General features: G+C 49.7%; 1 pseudogene, besides 5 other annotated features; it reads left to right on the top strand.

Moving 5' to 3' along the window:
- Nucleotides 3814-3923: an enhancer, noted in NCBI's record as "active region_7941". NCBI's record gives its function as "activates an Ori minimal core promoter by ATAC-STARR-seq in GM12878 lymphoblastoid cells {active_cell/tissue: GM12878}" and the evidence as "EXISTENCE:reporter gene assay evidence [ECO:0000049][PMID:35858748]".
- Nucleotides 3934-4023: an enhancer, noted in NCBI's record as "active region_7940". NCBI's record gives its function as "activates an Ori minimal core promoter by ATAC-STARR-seq in GM12878 lymphoblastoid cells {active_cell/tissue: GM12878}" and the evidence as "EXISTENCE:reporter gene assay evidence [ECO:0000049][PMID:35858748]".
- Nucleotides 4074-4213: an enhancer, noted in NCBI's record as "active region_7939". NCBI's record gives its function as "activates an Ori minimal core promoter by ATAC-STARR-seq in GM12878 lymphoblastoid cells {active_cell/tissue: GM12878}" and the evidence as "EXISTENCE:reporter gene assay evidence [ECO:0000049][PMID:35858748]".
- Nucleotides 6199-7118: an enhancer, noted in NCBI's record as "H3K4me1 hESC enhancer chr13:100069445-100070364 (GRCh37/hg19 assembly coordinates)". NCBI's record gives its function as "activates a minimal SCP1, AML or CMV promoter by ChIP-STARR-seq in naive H9 embryonic stem cells {active_cell/tissue: H9 hESC(naive)}" and the evidence as "EXISTENCE:reporter gene assay evidence [ECO:0000049][PMID:30033119]".
- Nucleotides 13049-13098: an enhancer, noted in NCBI's record as "active region_7938". NCBI's record gives its function as "activates an Ori minimal core promoter by ATAC-STARR-seq in GM12878 lymphoblastoid cells {active_cell/tissue: GM12878}" and the evidence as "EXISTENCE:reporter gene assay evidence [ECO:0000049][PMID:35858748]".
- On the top strand, nt 15341-16383 carry CCR12P (C-C motif chemokine receptor 12, pseudogene; annotated as a pseudogene).

Here is a 23879-nt window from a genome sequence, read left to right as displayed (position 1 = left end):
AAAATACAAAATTTTCCAGGCATAGTGGCATGCACCTCTGGTCCCAGCTACTTGAGGGGCTGAGGTGAGAGAATCACTTGAGCCTTCGAGGTCAAGGCTGCAGTGAGCCATGTTCATGCCACTGTGCTCCAGCCTGGGTGACGGAGTGAGCCTGTCTCAAAAAAAAAAAAAGAAAGAAAGAAAGAAAAAAGAAAAAGAAAAAATAAAAGAGCATGAATGTGTAAGTGTTGGTACAGCCAAACAAATGAATAGTATATAACAATGAGAGTGAATGAACTACAACTGTTACCAATGTAGATGAGTTCCACCTGTTGGGCTCAGTGCCTGATACCCCAAAACATGGCACCTTGGCAACTGATAAAACAAAGAAACGAGATGATCATGAGACCCTTCCCCCACCCTTCTATGTGACAGCTGGCCATAAAGGAATCCTCTGACCTACTTCACCAGAAAACAGATCATAAGATCCTCCTTCCAGGACCAGGCATGGTGGCTCACGCCTATGATCCTGTAAGCGCTTTGGGAGGCCAAGGTGGGAGGACTTGAGGTCAGGAGTTCGAGACCAGCCTGGCCAACATGGTGAAAACCCGTCTCTACTAAAAATACAAAAATTAGCTGGTCATGGTGGTGCACACCTGTCATCCCAGCTACTCAGGAGGCTGAGGCAAGAGAATTGCTTGAGCCCAGGAGGCAGAGGTTGCAGTGAGCTGAGATTGTGCCACTGCACTCCAGCCTGGGCAACAGAGTGAGACTCCATCTCAGAAAGAAAAAATGAAAAAGGAAATTGAAGAAACCTAAAGAAACAGAGAGACCTGTGACTTTTCCATGCTTAGGTTAGATGAAGAGTGGATGATTTTGGAGAAATAAGATTGGAGGAAGACAAGGGTGTGATCGAATGGGGAACCCCTGGGGGACTTAGCAAGGCTTGTTTGTTCAGGCTCCTCCCTGTGACCCTGGTGCCTTCAGAGGTAAGGATGTTCCTTTCTTCTGGGTGTGTGGAGGGGAACTTTCAAACGAGGGTCTATAAGCTGCTTCGGGGGTGGGGAGGGGCATGGTGGGGGTAGGAGTGACCTTCTTGCTCCTCCTGTTTTCTTAAATGCCAAGATGCCATGTTTTGGGATAGCGTGGCCTGAACCCCATCATACTCCATGGGCCCTGACCCCTGCCATGGGAACTGTAGAAAGAAGAGTGTCTGCGTTCACCCAGTGCACACACTGGGTGCTGGCAACTGAGTCAGGCACTGGGGAAGGACGGCACCTCCATCTTGCTCGAAGAGCTTGGCCCTAACGAAGTCTGACCGGGTGAAGAGACTCTCATTTAATGTTACCGACTCTGCGCCTTTCAGGCTCTGAAGCTGTCCGCACAGTAGGATCACAGGTCGGGGATGGTCAGGACAGGGGATTGTGTTGAATCCAGGGATCTCCCCAGAAGTTGCTTTTCTGACTAAATAGCTCCTTGGGGCATTTTCTTGTAAAATTTTTGCCAACTGCTTGAACCACTCCTTCGGCATTTCCCTCCCGATCTTGGTTCGCTGATGTAAGGGACATGTGTCTTGTCCCCAAGCTCTGAAGTGAGGGTGGTTTTGTTTCTCTTGGATTATCACCTGGTGGCCAGCAGGGTGGCTTAAACATAAAAGGTGCTTAAATCACAATTTTTGACTAAAGGAGAGAAAGAAGAAATAATTCAATTAAATTGCAACTTCCTCTTGAAGGAAGAGTGCAGGGAGAAAAACACCGCTGGTTTGAGATATTTGAGGGTTGTCTTACGTCACAGCATGTTGCATAGAAGTGGAAGGTGCCCACGTCTGCTTTTTCCTAAAGAGCATTTGCTGTGGAGGTCTGAGGCTGGTCTGGGTTGCAGTGACGTTGGTGGCTACCTGAGTGACCGCAGTGACTCAGCCCACCTCTCTGGGTCTCAGCATCCTCATCTGCAACCTGGTCGGATTAGACAGGAGCCTCTATCAGGTTCCTCTATGTGGTGACTCTATGAGGCCAAGGGAAGACATAAGGGTGGTGTCTCATCCCCAGCTGTCGTCCCCACGTTGAGTGCCATGTGGTTCCCAGTGACTTTTGGGTTTCTCAACTTTCCCCTCAACATTTAAGCTCCTTGCAGGCCATGGGTGTGCCTTCACACCCCCTCCCCAGTGGCCAGCACAGGGAGCTAAGCAGATGCTTGATGTGTCCTGTGGGAAGAAGTCTCTGGATGATGTGGGAAGACAGGCTGTGGAGGGCAGGTTTGGAACAGTAACTACCACTGGCCCTGCATTCAGCAATCATTCAGCACGCACCCACCAGGCTGACCCCTGTGGAGGCCCTAGGAGTTGATGATTGAGACTTTGTCACTTCCCTAAACAGCTCCCAGTCTGACAGACACTAGTCATTTATGGTGTACACTAATATAGAGACATTTGGGGACTAGAAGGGGAGCACCAAAATGAGATGCAGGGTGTGGGGCAGCCAAGGAAGACTGCCTGGAGGAGGGCTGAGTCTTGTGTGAGAAGGAGTTAAGCAGAGTTGATGAGGGTTCATGGGGAGGGAAAATGCATTCTGGACAGAGAGAACAGCATATCCCAGGTCATGGAAATCGAATCCTGTCCTAAAGACCCTCAAAGGATTTTAGGTAGCGAATAACACAATCAGTTGTGCCTTTAGCAAACTCATTCTGCAATCCTCAGTGGGATGTAGAATATAAACTGGATTGGAGAATTAAGATCGGAGACCAGGAAGCAAGAAGCTGTGGCTGTCCTGGAGAGAGACAGTGAGGACTGGGCTGAGGCCACAGCCACGAGAATGCAGCAGAGGTGATGAATGAGGACCGAAAACTGGGGTGACGGCGGGGGCGGGCATGGCACATGAGGAAGAGCAAGGTGGGGCGGGCAGGATGGCCGTGGGTAGGTGCTCTGTGGGGATGGGCGAATCCACATGAGTTTGGGGCTGGAGAGGACACATTTGTAGTGTGGTCCACACTGCTTGTGCTGCTCCCAGCACACGGCAGGATTCCACCTTTTTTTTTTTTTTTTTTTTTTTTGAGATGGAGTCTTGCTTTGTCACCCAGGCTGGAGTGCAGTGGCACCATCTCAGCTCACTGCAACCTCCGCCTCCCAGGTTCAAGCGATTCTCCTGCCTCAGCCTCCTGAGTAGCTGGGAGTACAGGCATGCACTACCAAGCCCGACTAATTTTTGTATTTTTAGTAGAGACGGGGTTTCACCATGTTGGCCAGTCTGGTCTCGAACTCCTGACCTCAGGTGATCCACCTGCCTCGGCCTCCCAAGGTGCTGGGATTATAGGCGTGAGCCACTGTGCCCCACCAGGATTCCACCTCTTGAAGTTAGGTGTGGCCACGTGACTTGTGTTGTTCAAGGAAATATGAGAGAAAGTGACAAGAAACCTCTGGGTGGGAGAGTAACGGTCCGGCACACCATTCCCTGTGCTCTCCCTCCCTCTGTGTCAGCAGCTGGAGGGGTTGGGCAGATTGTCTCATCCTCAAGCTTGACCTCTGGGAAACCTCCTCGGCCACCTGGGACCAGGAAGAGCCTCCTCCTGTGTGTTCCTTGGCACCCTGAAGTTGCTATCTCTGCGGCGTGCCTGTCACCCCATAGAGCTCTCACCTGTCTACCTGTCTACTTTGCTAGAAGGGAGGGTCTGTCAGTGCCGAAGACCTAGGTGGTTCTGGGAGGTCAGCATAGTGTAGACACTTGGTGAGCACTACATGGGTGAGTGAGTGTGTTACTCCAGCGTCAGCAGTCCTGTCAATGATTAAATGTAAAAAAAGAGGAACAAGTACATCTGTGCCCACCCCACACTCCTTTTCCTCTTCATCATTAAAAAAGAAAGAAAAAGCAAAAACGGCAGCACCTGGACAGCTCAACCACACTGCTGCTCTGCCCACGTGTGGGGCTGAAGCAGCTCTGGGAACACAGACGTGCAAACCACAGAGATGCGATAGCGGTGCCAGCTCCGCTTTCCCGGGGCAGGCACAGAGCGAGGCAGAAATCAGTACCTTGTGAAGCCACTTCAAGGGTAGCAGCCGGTAGGTGGGCTCAGCCACAGTTGCACTGTCCGCAGCCCCTGCTCTACCTGTCCTCAGGAACACTGGCCCAAAGTCTCTGCATCCTTCAGATCTGGGAGAGCCTATATTCGGCCACCTCCCCACTCCAGCCCCAGCTTCGACTGCCTTGTAACTGAACCCACCTGGAGGACCCGTATCTCCATGCAGTTGGCCTTGAACAAATCACTTAACTCCTCTAAGCCTCATTTTATTCATCTGTGAAATGGGGATAATGATGCCTCTTTGCGGATAAAGTGAGGTGTAAATAAGTAAAGCTAGGAGTGTCTGACACAGAGGAGGTCCTCAATCATGGGTGCCATCGTTGTCACTTTTCTTGCCATTGGTTTCCTGACCTGAGTGAACAGGAAACCACTGTGCTCTATTGACCCTTGTCCAGGGCCAGGTGGAAGAGGACAGATGGACTAAGATGAAGGGGGCTGATGAAGCACCTGGAGGAGGAACCAGGGTAGTCAGTGGGTCAGGAAGTCACATGTCGGGCTCAGGGTGTGGAGTGCAGGGATGGAAGGCCACTGCATCTGAAGCGGAGGGGGTTTCAGGCAGCTGAGGCTCTAATCAAGTCTGATGGATAAGCTGGGAGGCTTTGGAAACATCCCATGCCTCAGTGTCCCCACTTAGAAGGCAAAATGGTTAGACTAGATCGAGGGTCCTTCACCTTTTCTTGAGCCACAACCCTTTTGGCTGAAGCCTGTGGACCCCTTCCCAGAGTCCTGGTTTTTAAATGTATAAAGTAAAACACCTAAGATGAAAAGAAACCTTTCATATTAAAATATAGTGATCAAAATGTTTAAAAGTACTTTTTTTTTTGAGATGGGGGGTCTCTCCCTGTCACCCAGGCTGGAATGCAGTGGTACAGTCACAGCTCACTGCAGCCTTGACCTCCCAAGCTCAAGTGATCCTCCCACCTCAGCCTCCAGAGTAGCTGGGACTACAGGCATGCACCACCATACCTGTCTAATTTTTTAATTTTTGTAGACAAACTCTCGCTATGTTGCCCAGGCTAGTTTCGAACTCCTGGATTCAAGCAATCCTTCTGCCTCAGCCTCCCAAAGTGTTGGGATTACAGGCATGAGCTACCACGCCTGGCCAAAGAAAAGCAGATTTTTAATATAATGTCCTACACACTTCTTTATTCACTACTGACATGTCTAATAGTGACTGTAATTTCAAGGTAGTGACGAGCATAAATAATGCCTTAAGGTACCTGGATCACCTGCACTGGGCGATGAAAAGACTTGCTGTGGTTTCTAACAAACAGCACCCAAGTCTCAGGCACTCTCCCGCCACTGTGGCTGGCCACTCGTGTCCACAACTGAAACATCACATTTCAGCTGGGGCCTAATGGAAACAAAGATGGCATCATTTTCCCATCCAGCCTCACAGCCCCCCTGAATTCTGGCCCCCACCACGGGCTGGATAATCTCTTCCACCCCAGCAGATGATTTATATAAGAGCCTGCTGCCGTTTCTACCCCATGGAACTCAGCTGGCTGAAATGAAATGTCTCTGCCCAGGAAACAATTAGACAATAACCCAAGACAATGTGACATTCAGTGCGTGGCCTCAGCGATAAACACAGAAGGAAGGACCCGCAAGAGTGGTGGGGGGATCCACAGAACTTGGGGCAGGGTCTGGTTCTGTCAGGTTCGCTGGGCCTGTGGGGGCTGCAGCTCCCGCTTAGACAAGGTCCCTGATGGGCAACAGAGATGATAACTTGGCACGGGGCGGGGCAGACCCCAGGCCCTCCTGTGTGTGGGTTGCAGCCCTCCATCACTTGTACACAGTCAACTTAGAGCCCGTGGCTGCGCCCAGCTGTGCCTCAGTAAATGCTTATTGAGTGAATCAGGAATAAACCCCGTGTGGGTGGTATTCTATAATTTCTTGCCCTTTTGTGGGGGCCTTCTAGGTCTCTTTTTTTTTTTTTTAACATTTAATCCTAAATGTTGTGAGGACGCCCAGGACGTTTCTCCTGGGGCTTGTGGTCTGTGGACAAGTCAGGCACCTTTGGAAACTGCCTCAGCTCTTCCTTCTGGGGGTGGCAGGAGGGGAAGTTTATGGTAAAGGTGTATGATAAGATAGGACCTTTTCATCTAAGTTATCTCCAACAGGCCTGGAGTTTTGGGGGCATATTTGAAGGCCCGATTTACATATGGGGAAAATTGGGTCCCATAGCCTCTGTCAATGGGAGGCCAGGTAGGGGAGTGTGTTGACCACATTCTAGACTAGGGGAAGCCGGGACACAGTGGACTGGGGGCAGCTGTTCCCCTAGGCTGGACAGCTGGCTGCTGACTGGGGTGGGCTTCACGCTGGGTTCACAGGCAGCCTCAGAAAGAACAGGCACACTTACCGTGTCAATGATGACAATGACGTAGTGAGGGCCGCATAGTCTTAATCAAAGGAGCTGCTCGATGCCTCATTTATTAGCCAGTGATGTGGCAGGGAAAACCATTCTTGCCCTTTGAAATGAGAGGAGAAAAAGAGCGGTGGCCCGGTGGCCTCAGCCCGCAGCCTTTCCCTGCTGGGGAGGGGTGGGTTTAACCTGCAGTCCCGCTGCCCAGCCCCCGCTAACTGCTGCTCTTGGAGCGCTGCCTGCCTGGGCTGCAAATGCACCTTTCAGGCCCCATTAAGGCACCTTGCCTGGGTCACAAAACCCAGGAAATCCAGAGCCAGGGCGGTCTCCCCTCCACCTTCACACACGGAGCTGAGAGTGTCTGGGTCCCCAGGGGGCGTTTCTTGCTTTCCCTTGCTCGCTGCCCCAGTGCGGGGAGAATGGTGGCTGCTTTTGAATTTCCTGACTCTGGTGGCTTCACTGTCACATCTATGGTCTGAATCCCAGCCTGAGGGGTGTGCAGGGAAATGGAGCTGAAAGGAAATTGGCCTCCTGGGGTGACTTTCCTCCTCCTCTCTTCTCTAGGGGATGGTGGGGGCTGTGCGCAGGCATCCTGTGGCGGGGAGATCACCTTGACTGGCACCCTGGGTGTTTTTTCTCTCTCTCTCTCTCTTTTTTTTTTTCCAGCAGGGGTGTAAAGGGAGGAAGAGTGTCGAGTTTTGTGCCATGAACAGATTCCGTTTCTGCAGAGGACAGCGTGCAGGGGACACCCTTCGAGGCTTTGGAGCCACCTAGGAAGCAGGCTGGCTGCTGCACAGGCCTCTGCTGGCCTCCTTGCACATGTCCTTGGTGGGTGAGGTAAGCGGGCCAGGGGGTCTTCCCAGGGCATGGGAAAGGTGCTTGGGCTCCAAGAAAACGGCTCAGATTGCAGCTGCTCTGCCCCCATGGCCTGGTGAGCTGCAGCTCACTCTGCTTCCACCCGTCATCGGTGTAGAGCACGCCCTAGCCTACGCGGGGTGTAGAGCACGCCCTAACCTGCGTGGACGCTCCAGGATCCCGGCCACTGCTGTCAGGCCAGAAGGAGCAGAGGCCAGCGTCAGCCTCCAGCCACCGATAGGACCAGGCTACCTTTGCTGTGTCACCCCCGGGGGAGAATTTTAGAACACTTCTGGAAGCGCTTTTGGTAATTCTCCCCCTTCATGACTGCACTGATTGATCATCTCTGAGCGGAGGCACGCCTGGCACGCTGCAATCAGCACTGTGAGCCTCAGAAGGCAAAGGACCTTGTAACAGGGTAACTTCAGATAAAGGCACAAATGACTGATGTTAGGTCCTTTCCTGAGAGCAGATGGGATGGGGGAAGGGTGGGGTGCTTGTGCTTGTGGGGAGAGACCCCATGGGGTGGAGACGCAGAACACGGGGTGCAGAGGAGCTCACCTTTGGGCAGGTGTGGGGCCACAGCCCGCGCAGCACAGTCCGGGAGCTGTCAGTGCCCTGCGTCCTCATGTCTACCGACATCAATGAGCAAAGGAATGGGATGGACCAGCAGGAGGACAGGTAGCTAGGATTAAGGTGTGAGGCTTAGCGGCTTGGCCTCTCTCGATGGCTCCTGCTTTGGGTCTATGTGGCTGTCCAACCCTGCTGACCTCCCCAGACTCACAGCAGTGGTGACAGCACCTGCCACCCCCTCCTTGGGGTATGGATGTGACTTTTTTGTGGCTTCCAGCAGGGCCCAGCATCCTGGGCACTTGTTTTGTGCCAAATACCAAGAAAAGGAAGAAGACGAGGCCAGCCCCTCAAGGGCTAAGGGTTTGCTGAGCGTGCAGAGGCGTGAAAGAGGCCTGTGAGTCACTGCGGAGGCTCAGTCCCCACCAAGTACCAAGCAAGCGCCAAGGGTGGAGGGGCTCACAAATGCTGCTGAGCCGGGGAGGCTTCAGAGAGGAGGTAGCCCTTAGCTGGGCCTCGAGGCTAGTGCGGTGTCCTGGCAGCAAAGGGGGCACGAGGCACCCCGGCTGAGGCAGGGAGCCACAGCACGCGGTGAACCCTGAGGCTGGAATTCCTGAGGGCCAGGCAGAGCTGAGGCTGGGGGAGATGTGCCCTGGGGAAGAGGCCCCTGAAAAATCAGGAAGGGGGGCCCATTGCCAAGGGTTGGGGGTGCGTCAGGAGCCAGTCCCATCTCTTTGCCCTGTGAGGCCTGAACAAATTAAAAAATGAACACACAACTTTCCAAAGGCACCAGATAGCGGCTCTGTGCCTGGTCAAGTCGGTTCTAGAAGGTGAGGGGACCTGTGGTTCGCACCACCTGAGCTACCCTAGGTCGGCTCAGGCCTCAGGCCCCTTCCCCACAGCCTCCCACCTTGCTCGGCCAGCAAGTTGTTCAGGAAAGAAGGGGAGGAGGAAGAGGAACCTTCTCTCGTGGTTGGGAGCTGGTGAAACTCACGAGAGGGCCTTGGAGTCTGTGTGCTCTTCCAAAGAGCGGTCACTTCAGTGCGGGCTGGTTGGCCTGCCCCACCCCTGGGGCTCCCGGGTCACTTCTCCACAGAGTGAGTTTGAGTGTGTGAGCAAGTGTGTGAGAAGCGTCAGTGTGTGTGAGTGAATATGCGTGAGTGGGTGTGCAAGTGTGTGCACGTTTGAATGTGTGTTGGTGTGTAAAGTGGGTGTGAGTGTGCATGTATGTGAGTGAATGAGTGTGTGTGTGAATGGGTGTGTGTGGGTGGAGTGCATGTGCATGGGTGTGAGTGGGTGTGTGTATAGTGTGTATATATGTGTGCATGTTTGTGAATAAGTGTGTGTCATGTGTGCATATGTGGGGTGTGTATGGAGTGTGTGTGTCTGTGTGAGTGTGCGAATATATAGTGTGTGCACACACCTGTGAGGATGGGTGTGTGTAGTGTGTGTGCACGTGTGAGTGGGTATGTGTGAATGAGTGGATGTGTGTGTGCATGAGCATGTGTGTGAGTGTAAGCGAGTGGAAATGTTATGTATGCAAGTGCAGGTGTGTGTTAGTATACACGTGTGAGTATATGAGTGGGTGTGCAAGCATGTGAGTGGAGTGTGAGTAGGTGTGTGCACATGTCTGCATGGTGAGTACAAGTGTGTGAATGGGTATGTGTGCACATGTGTGAATGTGTGCATATGTGTATGGGTGGGGAAGTGTGTGCATGTGTGAGTGGGTGTGTGTGCACATCTGTGGGTGTGTTTTCACACGTGTGAATGGGTGTGTGAGTGCATTGTGTGAGTGGGTGTGTAGGGTGAATGTGTGCATGTGAGTGGGTGTGTAGGGTGTGTGCATGTGAGTGGGTATGTAGGGTGTATGCATGTGTGTGAGTGGGTGTGTAGGGTGTGTGCATGTGTGTGTGGTTGTGCATGTGTGTAGAGTGGGTGTGTGAGTGTGCATGTGTTTGGGTATGTAGGGTGAGTGGGTGTGCATGTGCACGTATGTGTGTAAATGGGTGTGTGCACGTGTGTGAGTGGGTGTGGGTGTTATTAAAGAAAACTGGAGCCGACAGCAGTTGGAGCGGTGGACGCAGATCTTGCTCAGGAACTCTTGCAATTGGAGAAAAGTCCTCAGGACAGAGCGGGGCTCCATTCCCAAAAGGACGAGGAAAATGGGGCTCATCCCCAAGGAGCAGAGTTGGGGGATGGGAAATTACTGAAAGGAAACATGAGGGTTCTTGTTAAGATGACCTAAGCCGATTCCTGCTGAAAGCCAGGGTGATCTGATGTCGAGGGCGGGGGTGAGGAATTTGACCAGATAAGAGAGGTGACCAGAGATCAAGGCTGGGTGGTTCCGTATGGACGCCCAAAGTTGGGAAAGCCCAAAGAAGAAGGCTTAGGGAAGCCTTACTAAAGTTTGGTCAAAAAGAATGGTGTGTGTGTGTGTGTGTGTGTGTGTGTGTGTGTGTGTAGGCAGTGCAGTTTGGGGTTTGGGGCTGGCCCAGACAGAGGAGATGGCAGGCCTGTGCCCAGCGTCCCTCACCGGCCCCTCCCCTGTAAGCTGGGCTGCTTTGGTCCTGGGAAATCGCTTCCCCTGGCTGCTTTCCCAGGGCAGGCAGGAGCCACCTGGGGGCTGTCCTTGACTCTTGAGCTAGGCCAAGTGCTCCGAGATCTTGCCATTCCTTCGGTTTGTTCTCTGCACTCTCCTTCCCTGGGAGCAGCTCATGAACTGAAGGTGGGACAGGGCAGAGGTGGCTTCTCTCACCAACTCCAGGACATGTCTGTTTACTTAGTTAAGGGGTTAGAATGCTAGAAAAAAAACTCTTGCTTGAGTGTAATCTGTAAAAGAAAGAACAATATAAAACAAAGTAGCAAAAGGATCATTGCGTGGGTTTTTACATATTTCTTACTGTGTTGCCATTTTATCAGGGCCAAACTCAGAAGAAAGCAAAACCTCAACAGCTCTAGCCGCAGCTTTGCTTTAGCGATGTTTCCCCTGCACGTCTTCTCTTCTCAAACAGGTCCTAACACTCTACCGCAGGCAGTAGGAGACCATGCTTTTGCATCTTCCAAATGCAACCAGTAGCTGGCACAGCACTTGGGGAATTCTTGATAAAGTTAAAAATATGTATAAATTCAATTTTCAGAGTGCATGACTAGCTCTACCTCTGTCGATATATCATCTCTATCTTCACCTATCTTTATCTATCCACCCACCCATCTATCTCTCTATTCGTCTATCCATTATCTAATCTATCACCTCTATATCCATCTGACATTATCTATCTATCTATCTATCTAATCTATGGATTCATTCATCCTCTATCCCTCTATTCATCTATCCATTATGTAATCTATCATCTCTATATCTCTCTATCATCTATCTACTTATCATCTATCTATCCAATCTATCTCTCTATCTATCCATCCATCCTCTGTCCCTCTATTCATCTATTATCTCTATATCCATCTATCTATCAGCCACCTGGCATCTCTAGCATCCCTATCATCTCTATATCTAAGTAATCTGTCATATCTGTCCACCTGCCTATCTAATCTAGCATCTCTGTCTCTATCTATTCATCCATCTATGCATCCATCCATCCACCCATCCTGAGGTTCAAAGGGCTTTCTGGTGCTCCTCTCTCTGCCTTTCAGCCTTGCTTCCCTTCCTTTCCATTTGAATAGAAGCTCCTTCTCTATTTGCAGAGATGAGACAGAGATGTCTATACCTGGGTTGACATGAGGCACAATCTACAGCAGGATCCCCACCAGCCAGCCTCAAATTGTTCAGGAGGGGACAGCTATGTCCTGAATCGAGGGAGGTTTAGGGGATCATGGACCTGGTGCCCTTCAAGTCAGCATCTGACTGCAGAAGTAAGCCATTCAGAACCTGGATCTCAGTGCTGGCTGCATGAGCTACAGTGGTCCTTGGGCGAGCTGTACACCCTCTGTACACTTTGGTGCCTATGTGTGCACCACGTAGACCATCACGTGACCCCAACCTGCTGTGCACAGAGCACTGCATAGACCCACTCCCACTCTTCTTTTTGTCACAGTTTGGAAATTAAGGCTTAAAGGATGATCAGAATGCAGCTGAGAGAAATGGAGGTGGGTAAAAAGAAGGCAAGGCTAGGTTACTTAGCAGACTGGGAAAAGTGCATTTGAAATAGGAAAATATGTACACGTTTTCAACAAACAACCCAATAGAAAAAGGGGCATACAATTTGTACAGGCATACAGAAAGATTACCACATGGCCAATAAACATGTGAAAAGGTGACCAGCATCAGTAGTGATCAGGGAACTGCTGTTAAAACCACAACCCACCAAAACAGCTAACCTGAAAAAGACTGACAACACCAAGTGGTGGTGAGGAAGAGGAGCCACGGGAGTGCCCCCACACTGCTGGAACGATTAAGAACAGCTACTTTGACCAACTGTTTGCCAGGACCTACTAAAAGTAGAAACATGCAGAGCCTGTGACCCAGCAGTTCCACTCCCAGCTGTATGCTCAGCAACATGTAGACAAGTTTCACCAAACACATAAAGTACATAAAGAGCAGGACTGTGTGTAATTATCCCAACTGGCAGCAACTGCACCACGCAGCAACAGTAGAACGGATAAATAAATGGTGGTGCTCTGTGCTCTTCTAGTTACCATGGCTGTGTAAAACATGTCTTTGTCAGTAAGCTTTTTGTTGAAGTCCAACATACTGTTCTAGTTACTGTGGCTGTGTAACAAATTACCCCAAAACGGCAACTGGAAACATAGTTTTATCATGTTTGTGGATTCTGTGGGTCAGGATATTGAAGAGGGCACAGTGGGAATGATTTTTCTCTGCTCCCTGACCTTGGAAGTCTCCGCTGAGAAGGATCAACAGCTGGGGGTAACTCTGAGGCACGGGTTGGGGCCTCCTGGAAGTGACTTTGCTCCCGTGTGTGGCTGTTGAAGCTGACTGCTGGCTGGAACCTCGGCTGGGGCTGTCCACGGGAGCATCTGCCTATGGCTTCTCCCAGCATGCCAGCCTCAGGGTAATCAGACTTCTGATACGACAGCTTGAGGCGCTGAAAAAGAGTGTCCCAGCAAACAGGACAGAAGCTGCATGTGTTAACCACGTCTTTTATTTTCTGTATTCTGATGCTTTAACATTTGGGGACCTTGCTGACTGTGGAGGGACTGCCCCTTCCCGGGTTAGCCAATTCCTAGAGACAGTAAACAACTCACCCATGAACACGCTATTCAGTTCTTCAAATGCAAATACAATGGAATACCATTCAGCAATGAGAATGAGCAAACTACAACTACACCCAACAATGCAGGTGATGCTCACAAACTAACATTGAACCCAAGAAGCGACACACATAAGATCGTATAGCATGGTTTCATTTATTTAAGGGTCAAAAGCATGCAAAACTGAGTTGTGATTTTAGAAGTTAGGAGAGGGGCCACGCTTGAGTGAAGGTGGAGGTTGGGAGGGCAGAGGAGAGTTTCTGGGAGGCTGTGAGGTTGTGCTTCCTAATCTGGGTGCCGATCACATGGGTGAGTTCACTTTGTGAAAATCGACAAGCTGTGCTTTTATGATCTGCACCCATTTTTCTATGTATGTGTTATGGTTTAAAAAATGGCTGTAGGCCAGGTGCGGTGACTCATGCCTGTGATCCCAGCAATTTAGCAGGCTGAAGTGGGCAGATCACCTAAGGTCAGGAGTTCAAGACCAGCATGACCAACATGGGGAAACCCTGTCTCCACTAAAAATACAAAAATTAGCCAGGAATGGTGGTGCGTGCCTGTAATCCCAGCTACCCGGGAGGCTGAGGCAGGAGAATCACTTGAACCCAGGAGGAGGTGGAGGCTGCAGTGAGCCAAGATCTCACCACTGCACTCCAGCCTGGGTGACAGAGTGAAACTCCATCTCAAAAGCAAAAAAAAAAAAAAAAAAAAAAAGGCTCCAAATTCTTCTACTTTTCTCCCATGGAGAAGTGGAGGCTATTCTCCCCCCATGCCCCTGTACTATCTTGATTCTAGATGAGCTTGTGACTTGCTTGTAAGTGATAGAAGGCACTGGAAGTGATGATATGACACTTCAGGACTAGGTTAGAAAAGGTGAGGCAGTGTTTTAGAATAGAGTGTATTAATAGAAAATCTGGGGTCCGGTACTGTGGCTCACGCCTATAATCCCAGGACTTTGGGAGGCCGAGGCAGGCGAATCACTTGAGGTCAGGAGTCATGGTGAAACCCCATCTCTACTACTTAGGAGGCTGAGGCATGAGAATTGCTTGAACCGAGGAGGTGGAGGTTACAGTGAGCCAGGATCACTCCACTGCACTCCAGCCTGGGCGACAGAGCAAGACTTTGTCTCAAAAAAAGAAAAAGAAAAGCCGAGGTTCAAGAAGGCCAACAGGTCAGCAGATAACTGCCATTGAAGGACAGTTTGCTACTCACAGATCCCAAGAGGAGGGCACGCCCCATCACGCAGGGCCACCGGGGAGACATAGGGTTGGTCAGGAGGTGAAGGGAGCAGGGGAAAATGTGGGCAAGAGTGGTTTTAGGGTACACAGGCTTAAGATTGGGTGGTTTGAATCATTTCAGCAAGCTCTGAGACATGAGGACTGTCCCCATTTGTGTGGTACCTGGCCCTGGGGTGTTTAGGGCAGGTGGATAGTGTCCTGGTGTGTGAGAGCTGTAAATGGAGCCCGTGGAAGCTAAGGACTCTGGATTGGTAGGTTTGCATTTGAAGAACTGAAGAGCGTGTTCATGGGTGAGTTGTTTACTGTCTCTAGGAATTGGCTAACCCGGGAAGGGGCAGTCCCTCCACAGTCAGCAAGGTCCCCAAATGTTAAAGCATCAGAATACAGAAAATAAAAGACGTGGTTAACACATGCAGCTTCTGTCCTGTTTGCTGGGACACTCTCTTTCAGTGCCTCGAGCTGTCGTATCAGAAGTCTGATTACCCTGAGGCTGGCATGCTGGGAGAAGCCATAGGCAGATGCTCCCGTGGACAGCCCCAGCCGAGGTTCCAGCCAGCAGTCAGCTTCAACAGCCACACACGGGAGCAAAGTCGCTTCCAGGAGGCCCCAACCCGTGCCCCAGAGTAACCCCCAGCTGTTGATCCTTTTCAGCAGAGACCTCCAAGATTAGGGAGCAGAGAAAAATCATTCCCACTGTGCCCTCTTCAATATCCTGACCCACAGAATCCACAAACATGATAAAACTATGTTTCCAGTTGCCGTTTTGGGGTAATTTGTTACACAGCCATAGTAACCAGAACAGTATGTTGCACTTCAACAAAAAGCTTACTGAAAAAGACATGTTTTATTATACTTGTGCATGTTGCCTCAGCAAAACTATTCATTATTACAATTCCAGAGGCATAACCCCACAGATACAGTGTTTTTTTTTTCTTTTTTCCTCCCCAGGCAGCCACGTGAGATGGCTTCCGGCACTGCTGGCGTGAGTAGTCTTCCTGGCAATGCCAGCTCTTGCCGTCCTCACCTCCTGGCCCCAGTGGCCCGCATGACGCTCTCTGTTCTACACAGCCCTCCTGGTCTTCAGTGCCCTGGGAAACATCCTTGCCCTTTGCCTTACCTGTCAAAAGAGCAGGAAGATCAACTGCACAGGCATCTACCTGGTGCACCTGGCTGTGTCTGACCTGCTGTTCACCGTGGCCTTACCGGGAAGGGTGGTGTGTTATGTGCTGGGCTCCAGCTGGCCTTTCGGCAAGGGGCTCTGCAGGCTGACGGCGTTTGTGCTCTACACCGACACCTACGGGGGGTCTACCTCATGGCCTGTGTGAGCGTGGACCATTACCCAGCTGTGGTCTGTGCCCACTGGGGCCCGCGCCTCCGCACGGCTGGCCGCGCCAGGCTGGTCTGCGTGGCCATCTGGACCTTGGTGCTGCTGCAGACGATGCCCTTGCTCTTGATGCCCATGACCAAGCCGCTGGTGGGCAAGCTGGCCTGCATGGAGTACAGCAGCATGGAGTCAGTCCTCGGGCTGCCCCTCATGGTCCTGGTGGCCTTTGCCATTGGCTTCTGTGGGCCAGTGGGGATCATCCTGTCCTGCTATATGAAGATCACCTGGAAGCTGTGCAGCACAGCTGGGAGAACCCAGTGACCAGCGGGAAAGGACACCACCGGCGGGGCAGCCCAGGAGGACCCAGTGACCAACAGGAAAGGACGCCACCGGCGGGGCAGCCCAGGAGGACCCAGTGACCAGCGGGAAAGGACACCACCGGCAGGACAGCCCGAGAGGACCCAGTGACCAGCGGGAAAGGACGCCACCGGCGGGACAGCCCGGGAGGACCCAGTGACCAGCAGGAAAGGACGCCACTGGCGAGGCTGCCTGCTTACGCTGCTGATGCTGGTGGCCGTGGTGGTCTGCTTCAGCCCCTACCACCTCAACATCAAGCAGTTCATGGCGAGAGGGATGCTCCACCTGCCATCCTGTGCCGAGCGGAGGGCTTTCTTACTGTCCCTTCAGGCCACCGTGGCCCTCATGAACATGAACTGTGGCATTACCCCATCATTTACTTCTTTGCATCCACCCATTACAGGAAATGGCTCCTGGGCATTTTAAAGCTCAAAGGGTCTTCCTCCTCCTCCTCCTCCTCCTCCTCCACCCCAGGAAAAGCTTCTTCAGAAACACCAAGTATCACCCAGGCCAGAGGTTCTATGTTCTTAGCGGAGCACGTGGTCTAACGTGTCATTTGCTTTATGACTGTATCTAGGGAGGGGTCCAGCGTTGGGGTATTGAAGTTGATACAATTTGGGCAAAAGGTTTTTTAAGGAAAAGAATACAGAATAAGAAATACAAAATTAGGCCGGGCGCGGTGGCTCACGCCTGTAATCCCCGCACTTTGGGAGGCCAAGGTGGGCGGATCACCTGAGGTCAGGAGTTCGAGAGCAGCCTGGCCAACATGGTGAAACCCCATCTCTACTGAAGTACAAAAATTAGCCAGGTGTGATGGTGGGCACCTGTAATCCCAGCTACTCAGGAGGCTGAGGCAGCAGAATCACTTGAACTCGGGAGGCAGAGGATGCAGTAAGCCGAGATCGCACCACTGCACTCCAGCCTGGGCGACAAGAGCAAGACTCCGTCTCAAAACGAAAGAAAGAAAGAAAGAAATACAAAATTAGAGACAGGGTCTTTGAAGGGACAGTGTAAGGATGGAGCCCTGAAGTTTGGACTTCAGTATCCTGACAAACACAGCTCTAATATCTCTTAGTAAATGGTAGTGGAGTTCCTTCGCCCCTAAAGGGGTGTGGGGTGTTTTTTTCCAGGAAAAGTCTATTTTCATGGTAAATGCAGAAGAGCCTGAAAGAAGTGGCTGAGCACTAGATCAGCAATTTAGAGGATGCTTCCCGTTTGGGGGGTGAAATGCTGTAAAGAGCAAGAACACTTCCCCTTCTCTTACAGAGAAACTTCCCAATTCTTAGCCTTAACATTTACTAAAATGTCAAGGTTTTTCTGAAAAACTTGGAAAACACAGGGAGGATGCACAGCCAGGCGCTGAGCTGATGCCTCTGCAGAGGGTCGGGAGGGACTGTGCCAAGTGGGGAAGGGACTTCGTGTGCTTTTGTGTGGTGGTTTGGATCTTGTGCAATGTGAAAGCATTCACGGATGCACGTGTCATTGGGAAGAACAGGGGGAAAGGAAACAGTCAGAAAAGCAGGCCCTTTTTTTTTCATTTGTTTAGTGTCAGAAAGGCTGTATCCATTTAAATGCTGCTTACATTAGATCGAAACAAACCTTTGCAAGACCGAACTTTGAAAGAAGTTTCATTGCAACTTCTTCAGACTTACTGAGGCAATTTTTTTTCTTTTTTTTCTTTTTTTTTTTTTTAGACAGTCTCGCCCTGTCACCCAGGCTGGAGTGCAATGGCACAATCTCGCCTCACTGCAACCTCCACCTCCCCGGTTCAAGCGATTCTCCTGCCTCAGCCTCCAGAGTAGCTGGGATTATAGGCACATGCCACCATGCCCAGCTAATTTTTTCTATTTTTAGTAGAGATGTGGTTTCACCTTGTTGGCCAACCTTGTCTCGAACTCCTGACCTCCTGATATACCCGCCTCAGCCTCCCAAAGTGCTGGGATTACAGGCGTGAGCCACTGCGCCCGGCCAAGTCTGATGCCATTTATGGAGCATTTTGACGTGGGTGATTTTGTGTTTCGTAAAGCATTAGGTTGGTGCAAAACTGCTGTTCTGCCGTGACTTGTGCACCAACCTAATAGAATGTGTGCTTTCCTGCCAAGCGCATGTTCCTGACGACAGTCCCTGGCCTTTCCCTCTGCCCCCACCGTCCCCCCACACTCCGGCGGTTCAGACAGGAATAAGCGTGGAGTCCTGCCTCAAGCCCTCCCCAGTCGCTGTCCCCCAGAGACCCTCTTCTCTCCTGATGCTTCTTGCATCTTCCAATTTCCGGCTACGTTTTGGACATTTGACTCTCTTCAAGGCAGAACTTCACATACACTTTCTTGAGTGGGGAATGTCTCATCCTGTGACGTTGTGATAAAATAAGAAATACGTATTTGGTCTTTCCCCTAGTTCCTGGCATAGAGCTCCTAAAACCTTGGAATTTTCCAAGAGACAGGGGTGAGAGGGCATCTTTCGTTCTTCATCATGAGCCCTTTTCCATCACACTTGAGTTTATGCCAATGAGGCAACTCTTGCCTGGACCCAGAAGATAAGGTTGGTTGCTGGAGGAACCACCATATGGTTAGAGGGTTGGAACTTTCAGCCCCATCCCCTAGCTCCTGGGGAAAGGAGACAGGCCAAAGATTGAGTCCAATCACCAATGATTTAATCAATCACATCTCTGTAATGGACCCTCCATAAAACCCCGAAGTGATGCAGTTCTAGAAGCTTCTGGTGGTGAACTCCACATGCCTGGAGGATGGTACATGTCAAACTCCGTGGGAACAGAAGCCCCTGAAATCAGGCCCTTTCCCAACCTAGGCACCTCTTCATCGGGATGCTTGTCTATATCCTTTATGTATTATATCCTTTCGAATAAGCTGGTAATTAATAGTAAGTAAAGTGTCCCTTGAGTGCTGTGAGCTGTCATAGCAAATTATCCAACCTGAGGAGGGGAACCCTCGATTTGTAGCCAACTTGGACAGAAGCGTGGTAACCTGAGGGCCCACTACTTGAGACTGGCATCTGAAGTGGGGGGCAGTCTTGTGGGATGGGGCCCTAACCCTGGGGGGGCCTGCACTAACTCTGAGTAGCTAGTGTCAGGATCGAATTAAATTGTGGGACATCCAGTTGGTGTCCACAGAGAACTGGTTGTTGGTGTATAAAAAAGCACTTTTTTTCCACTTACATCCTGGCAACTGGACTGCAAGGTCCTGAAGGAAATGTCTGCTCTGGCACCCTTGCTTGATGCCCCGGACAGCTGGCACTACCCCAGGCAGGGAGCTAGCGCTCCAGATGCCCCCACTAGTTTGAATGGATGAGGATCATTTCTCTTATGAAGTCTGATTTGTCAAATCCTACGAAAAACCCTCAGGAGCTCATGTTGAGGTCCTGGGCACACTTCTTCTCCATGTCTGCTTCCAGCTTGGAGGCAGAGAGGCTCAAAGTCTCAAAGAACTTGGAACTCTGCTCTTGGGGCCCTGTGAATTCAGGAGTGAAGAACCTCAGCTGAAAGGTCCCCTCTGCATCCGCTGGTGGCTGCTCTGAGCAAATCCTGTAGGTGCCCAGTAGTTTGCTTCCACACCTGGCCGGGATTAAAAGCAAAGCTCACACCCCTGATGCATTTGCACTAACCGAGCACTTCTCACAGGGCATGAAGGTACGAGAGGGGCTGGCCAGCCAGTGGTGTGATGAGGAGGGGGGCCCAGGGGCTGCAGAGGGGCCTCCAGCAGGGACACCGAGGTCTGGCTGCCTCCGGACATTACAGATCCTCCTGGGCCACCTCTCAAGCGTTTCTCACACCTGACCCGGCCTGCACGCTGGGCTGCTCAGCTCCAAAGCTGCGTGGGGCCCCGCAGTTATGAGCATGAGGAAGCCGGAAGGAGACAGTCATACCAGAGGGCATTTGAGAACGAAACAGGAGCAGGAAAGAGGCCCGAGATCGCGAAGTCTGGCAAGAAGAGGTAGAACTGGGTGGGAAGAGAAAGCACAGCCGAGATGCCCGTCTGCTTGCTGTACTGGCCATGGATGGAGGCGGGTGTTCTTTTTAGGAATGCCCACGATGGGTTGGATTTACAGAGAGAGAGGTCTCAGTTCTGAATATGGTTTGGCTATTTGCATTGAAATGTGATCCCCAAGGTTGGGTCACGGGGCAGATCTCTCATCAACGGTTTGGTGCCCTGTCCATGGTGATGAGTGACTTCTTACTCAGATAGGTGAGATCTGGTTGTTTAAAGAGCCTGGCACCTCCTTCCTCTCTCTCTTGTTCCCACTCTCGCCGTGTGATCACCTGCTCCCGCTTCACCTTCCACCAGGAGTCAAAGTTCCCTGAGACCTCCCTGGAAGCCAAGCAGATGCAGGTGCCATGCTTGTACAGCCTGCAGAACCTGAGCCAGTTAAACTCTTCCTTATAAATTACCCAGCCTCAGACATTTCTTTATATCAAGGAAAACAGACTAACCCAGGGCGATGGGAGGAGGCACCTTGCCAAGGATCCGCACCCACACACACCCACACCTCACTTTCCTCATCTGTAAAAGGAAACTGTAATATCTGCACAAGGGACTATTGTATTTGTCACGTGGAATATTTGTGGGGTTTCCATGGAGCAACATGTGTGTCAATTACTTAACACTAAAGAACTCATTTAAAATGGAAACAGATTGTGGCCACTGATATTTGTAAGGGGTGCTAGACCACCTCACGTCACTGGGGATATCAGTGCATCTTTTCTTGTTACTGGGGTTAGGTGTGAACACCCAGGCCACTCCCTCAACCCAGGAGCAGTGGTTCTCAGACTGTGGTCTGGGGACCAGCAGCAGCAGCGACTCCAGACCCTGCCCAGACCTGCTGAGTCTGCCCCACTAGGGTGGGGCCTGCACTGTTTTACCAGCCTTGCGAGGGACCTTTGGAAAATCCTAGTGCCCAAGTCTGAGAACCACTGGCCAAGATGCGTTCAGTCAGCATCTCTAGGAGAGGGACTCAGGCACAGGTTATTTATTTATGTTTTTTTCATTTAATTCATTTTTTAAATTATACTTTAAGTTCTAGGGTACATGTGCACAACGTGCAGTTTTGTTACATATGTATACATGTGCCATGTTGGTGTGCTGCACCCATTAACTCATAATTGACATTAGATATTTCTCCTAATGCTATCCCCAGCCCTCCACCCCTTGACAGGCCCCATGGTGTGATGTTCCTCACCCTGTGTCCAAGTGTTGTATTGTTCAATTCCCACCTGTGAGTGAGAACATGCAGTGTTTGGTTTTCTGTCCTTGCGATAGTTTGCTCAGATTGATGGTTTCCAGCTTCATCCATGTCCTTACAAAGGACATGAACTCATCCTTTTTTATGGCTGCATAGTATTCCATGGTGTATATGTGCCACATTTTCTTAATCCAGTCTATCCTTGATGGACATTTGGGTTGGTTCCAAGTCTTTGCTATTGTGAATAGTGCCGCAATAAACATACATGTGCATGTGTCTTTATAGTGGCATGATTTATAATCTTTTGGGTATATACCCAGTAATGGGATGGCTGAGTCAAATGGTATTTCTAGTTCTAGATGCTTGAGGAATCACCACACTGTCTTCCACAATGGTTGAACTAGATTACACTCCCACCAACAGTGTAAAAGTGTTCCTATTTCTCCACATCCTCTCCAGCACCTGTTGTTTCTGACTTTTTAAAGATCGCCATTCTAACTGGTGTGAGATAGTATCTCATTGTGATTTTGATTTGCATTTCTCTGATAGCCAGTGATGATGAGCATTTTTTCATGCATCTGTTGCCTGCATGAATGTCTTCTTTTGAGAAGTATCTGTTCGTATCCTTTGCCCACTTTTTGATGGGGTTGTATGATTTTTTTCTTGTACATTTGTTTAAGCTCTTTGTAGATTCTCGATATTAGCCCTTTGTCAAATGGGTAGATCGTAAAAATTTTCTCCCATTCTGTAGGTTGCCTGTTCACTCTGATGGTAGTTTCTTTTGCTGTGCAGAAGCTCTTTAGTTTAATTAGATCCCTTTTGTCAATTTTGGCTTTTTTTGCCATTGCTTTTGTGTTTTAGTCATGAAGTCCTTGCCCATGCCTATGTCCTGAGTGGTATTGCCTAGGTTTTCTTCTAGGGTTTTTATGGTTTTAGGTCTAACATTTAAGTCTTTAATCAATCTTGAATCAATTTTTGTGTAAGGTGTAAGGAAGGGATCCAGTTTCAGCTTTCTACATATGGCTAGCCAGTTTTCCCAGCACCATTTATTAAATAGGGAATCCTTTCCCCATTTCTTATTTTTGTCAGGTTTGTCAAAGATCAGATGGTTGTAGATGTGTGGTATTATTTCTGAGGCCTCTGTTCTGTTCCATTGGTCTATATCTCTGTTTTGGTACCAGTTACCATGCTGTTTTGGTTACTATAGCCTTGTAGTATAGTCTGAAGTCAGGTAGCATGTTGCCTCCAGCTTTGTTCTTTTGGCTTAGGATTGTCTTGGCAATGCAGGCTCTTTTTTGGTTCCATATGAACTTTAAAGTAGTTTTTTCCAATTCTGTGATGAAAGTCATTGGTAGCTTGATGGGGACGGCATTGAATCTACAAAGTACCTTGGGCAATATGGCCATTTTCATGATATTGATTCTTCCTATCCATGAGCATGGAATGTTCTTCCATTTGTTTGTGTCCTCTTTTATTTCATTGAGCAGTGGTTTGTAGTTCTCCTTGAAGAGGTCCTTCACATCCCTTGTAAGTTGGATTCCTAGGTATTTTATTCTCTTTGAAGCAATTGTGAATGGGAGTTCACTCATGATTTGGCTGTCTATTATTGGTGTATAGGAATGCTTGTGATTTTTGCACATTGATTTTGTATCCTGAGACTTTGCTGAAGTTGTTAATCAGCTTAAGGAGATTTTGGGCTGAGACCATGGGGTTTTCTAAATATACAATCATGTCATCTGCAAACAGGGACAATTTGACTCCCTCTTTTCCTAATTGAACACCCTTTGTTTCTTTCTCCTGCCTGATTGCCCTGGCCAGAACTTCCAACACTATGTTGAATAGGAGTGGTGAGAGAGGGCATCCCTGTCTTGTGCCAGTTTTCAAAGGGAATGCTTCCAGTTTTTGCCCATTCAGTATAATATAATATTGGCTGTGGGTTTGTCATAAATAGCTCTTATTATTTTGAGATACATCCCATCAATACCTAGTTTATTGAGAGTTTTTAGCATGAAGGGCTGTTGAATTTTGTCGAAGGCCTTTTCTGCATCTATTGAGATAATCATGTGGTTTTTGTCATTGGTTCTGTTTATATGAAGGATTACGTTTATTGATTTGCGTATGTTGAACCAGCCTTGCATCCCAGGGATGAAGCCAAGTTGATCGTGGTGGATAAGCTTTTTGATGTGCTGCTGGATTCGGTTTGCCAGTATTTTATTGAGGATTGTAGCATCAATGTTCATCAGGGATATTGGTCTAAAATTCTCTTTTTTTGTCGTGTCTCTGCCAGGCTTTGGTGTCAGGATGATGCTGGCCTCATAAAATGAGTTGGGGAGGATTCTCTCTTTTTCTGTTGATTGGAATAGTTTCAGAGGGAATGGTACCAGCTCCTCTTTGTACCTCTGGTAGAATTCAGCTGTGAATCCGTCTGGTCCTGGACTTTTATTGATTGGTAGGCTATTAATTATTGCCTCAATTTCAGATCCTGTTATTGGTCTATTCAGGGATTCAACTTCTTCCTGGTTTAATCTTGGGAGGGTGTATGTGTCCAGAAATTTATCCATTTCTTCTAGATTTTCTAGTTTATTTGCATAGAGGTGTTTATAGTATTCTCTGATGGTAGTTTGTATTTCTGTGGGATCGGTGGTGACATTCCCTTTGTCATTTTTTGTTGCGTCTATTTGATTCTTCTCTCTTTTCTTCTTTA

The sequence above is a fragment of the Homo sapiens genome, chromosome 13 (assembly GCF_000001405.40).
Source record: "Homo sapiens chromosome 13, GRCh38.p14 Primary Assembly".
NCBI classification, from domain to species: Eukaryota; Metazoa; Chordata; class Mammalia; order Primates; family Hominidae; genus Homo; species Homo sapiens.
This window is presented reverse-complemented; position numbering and strand designations above follow the sequence as displayed.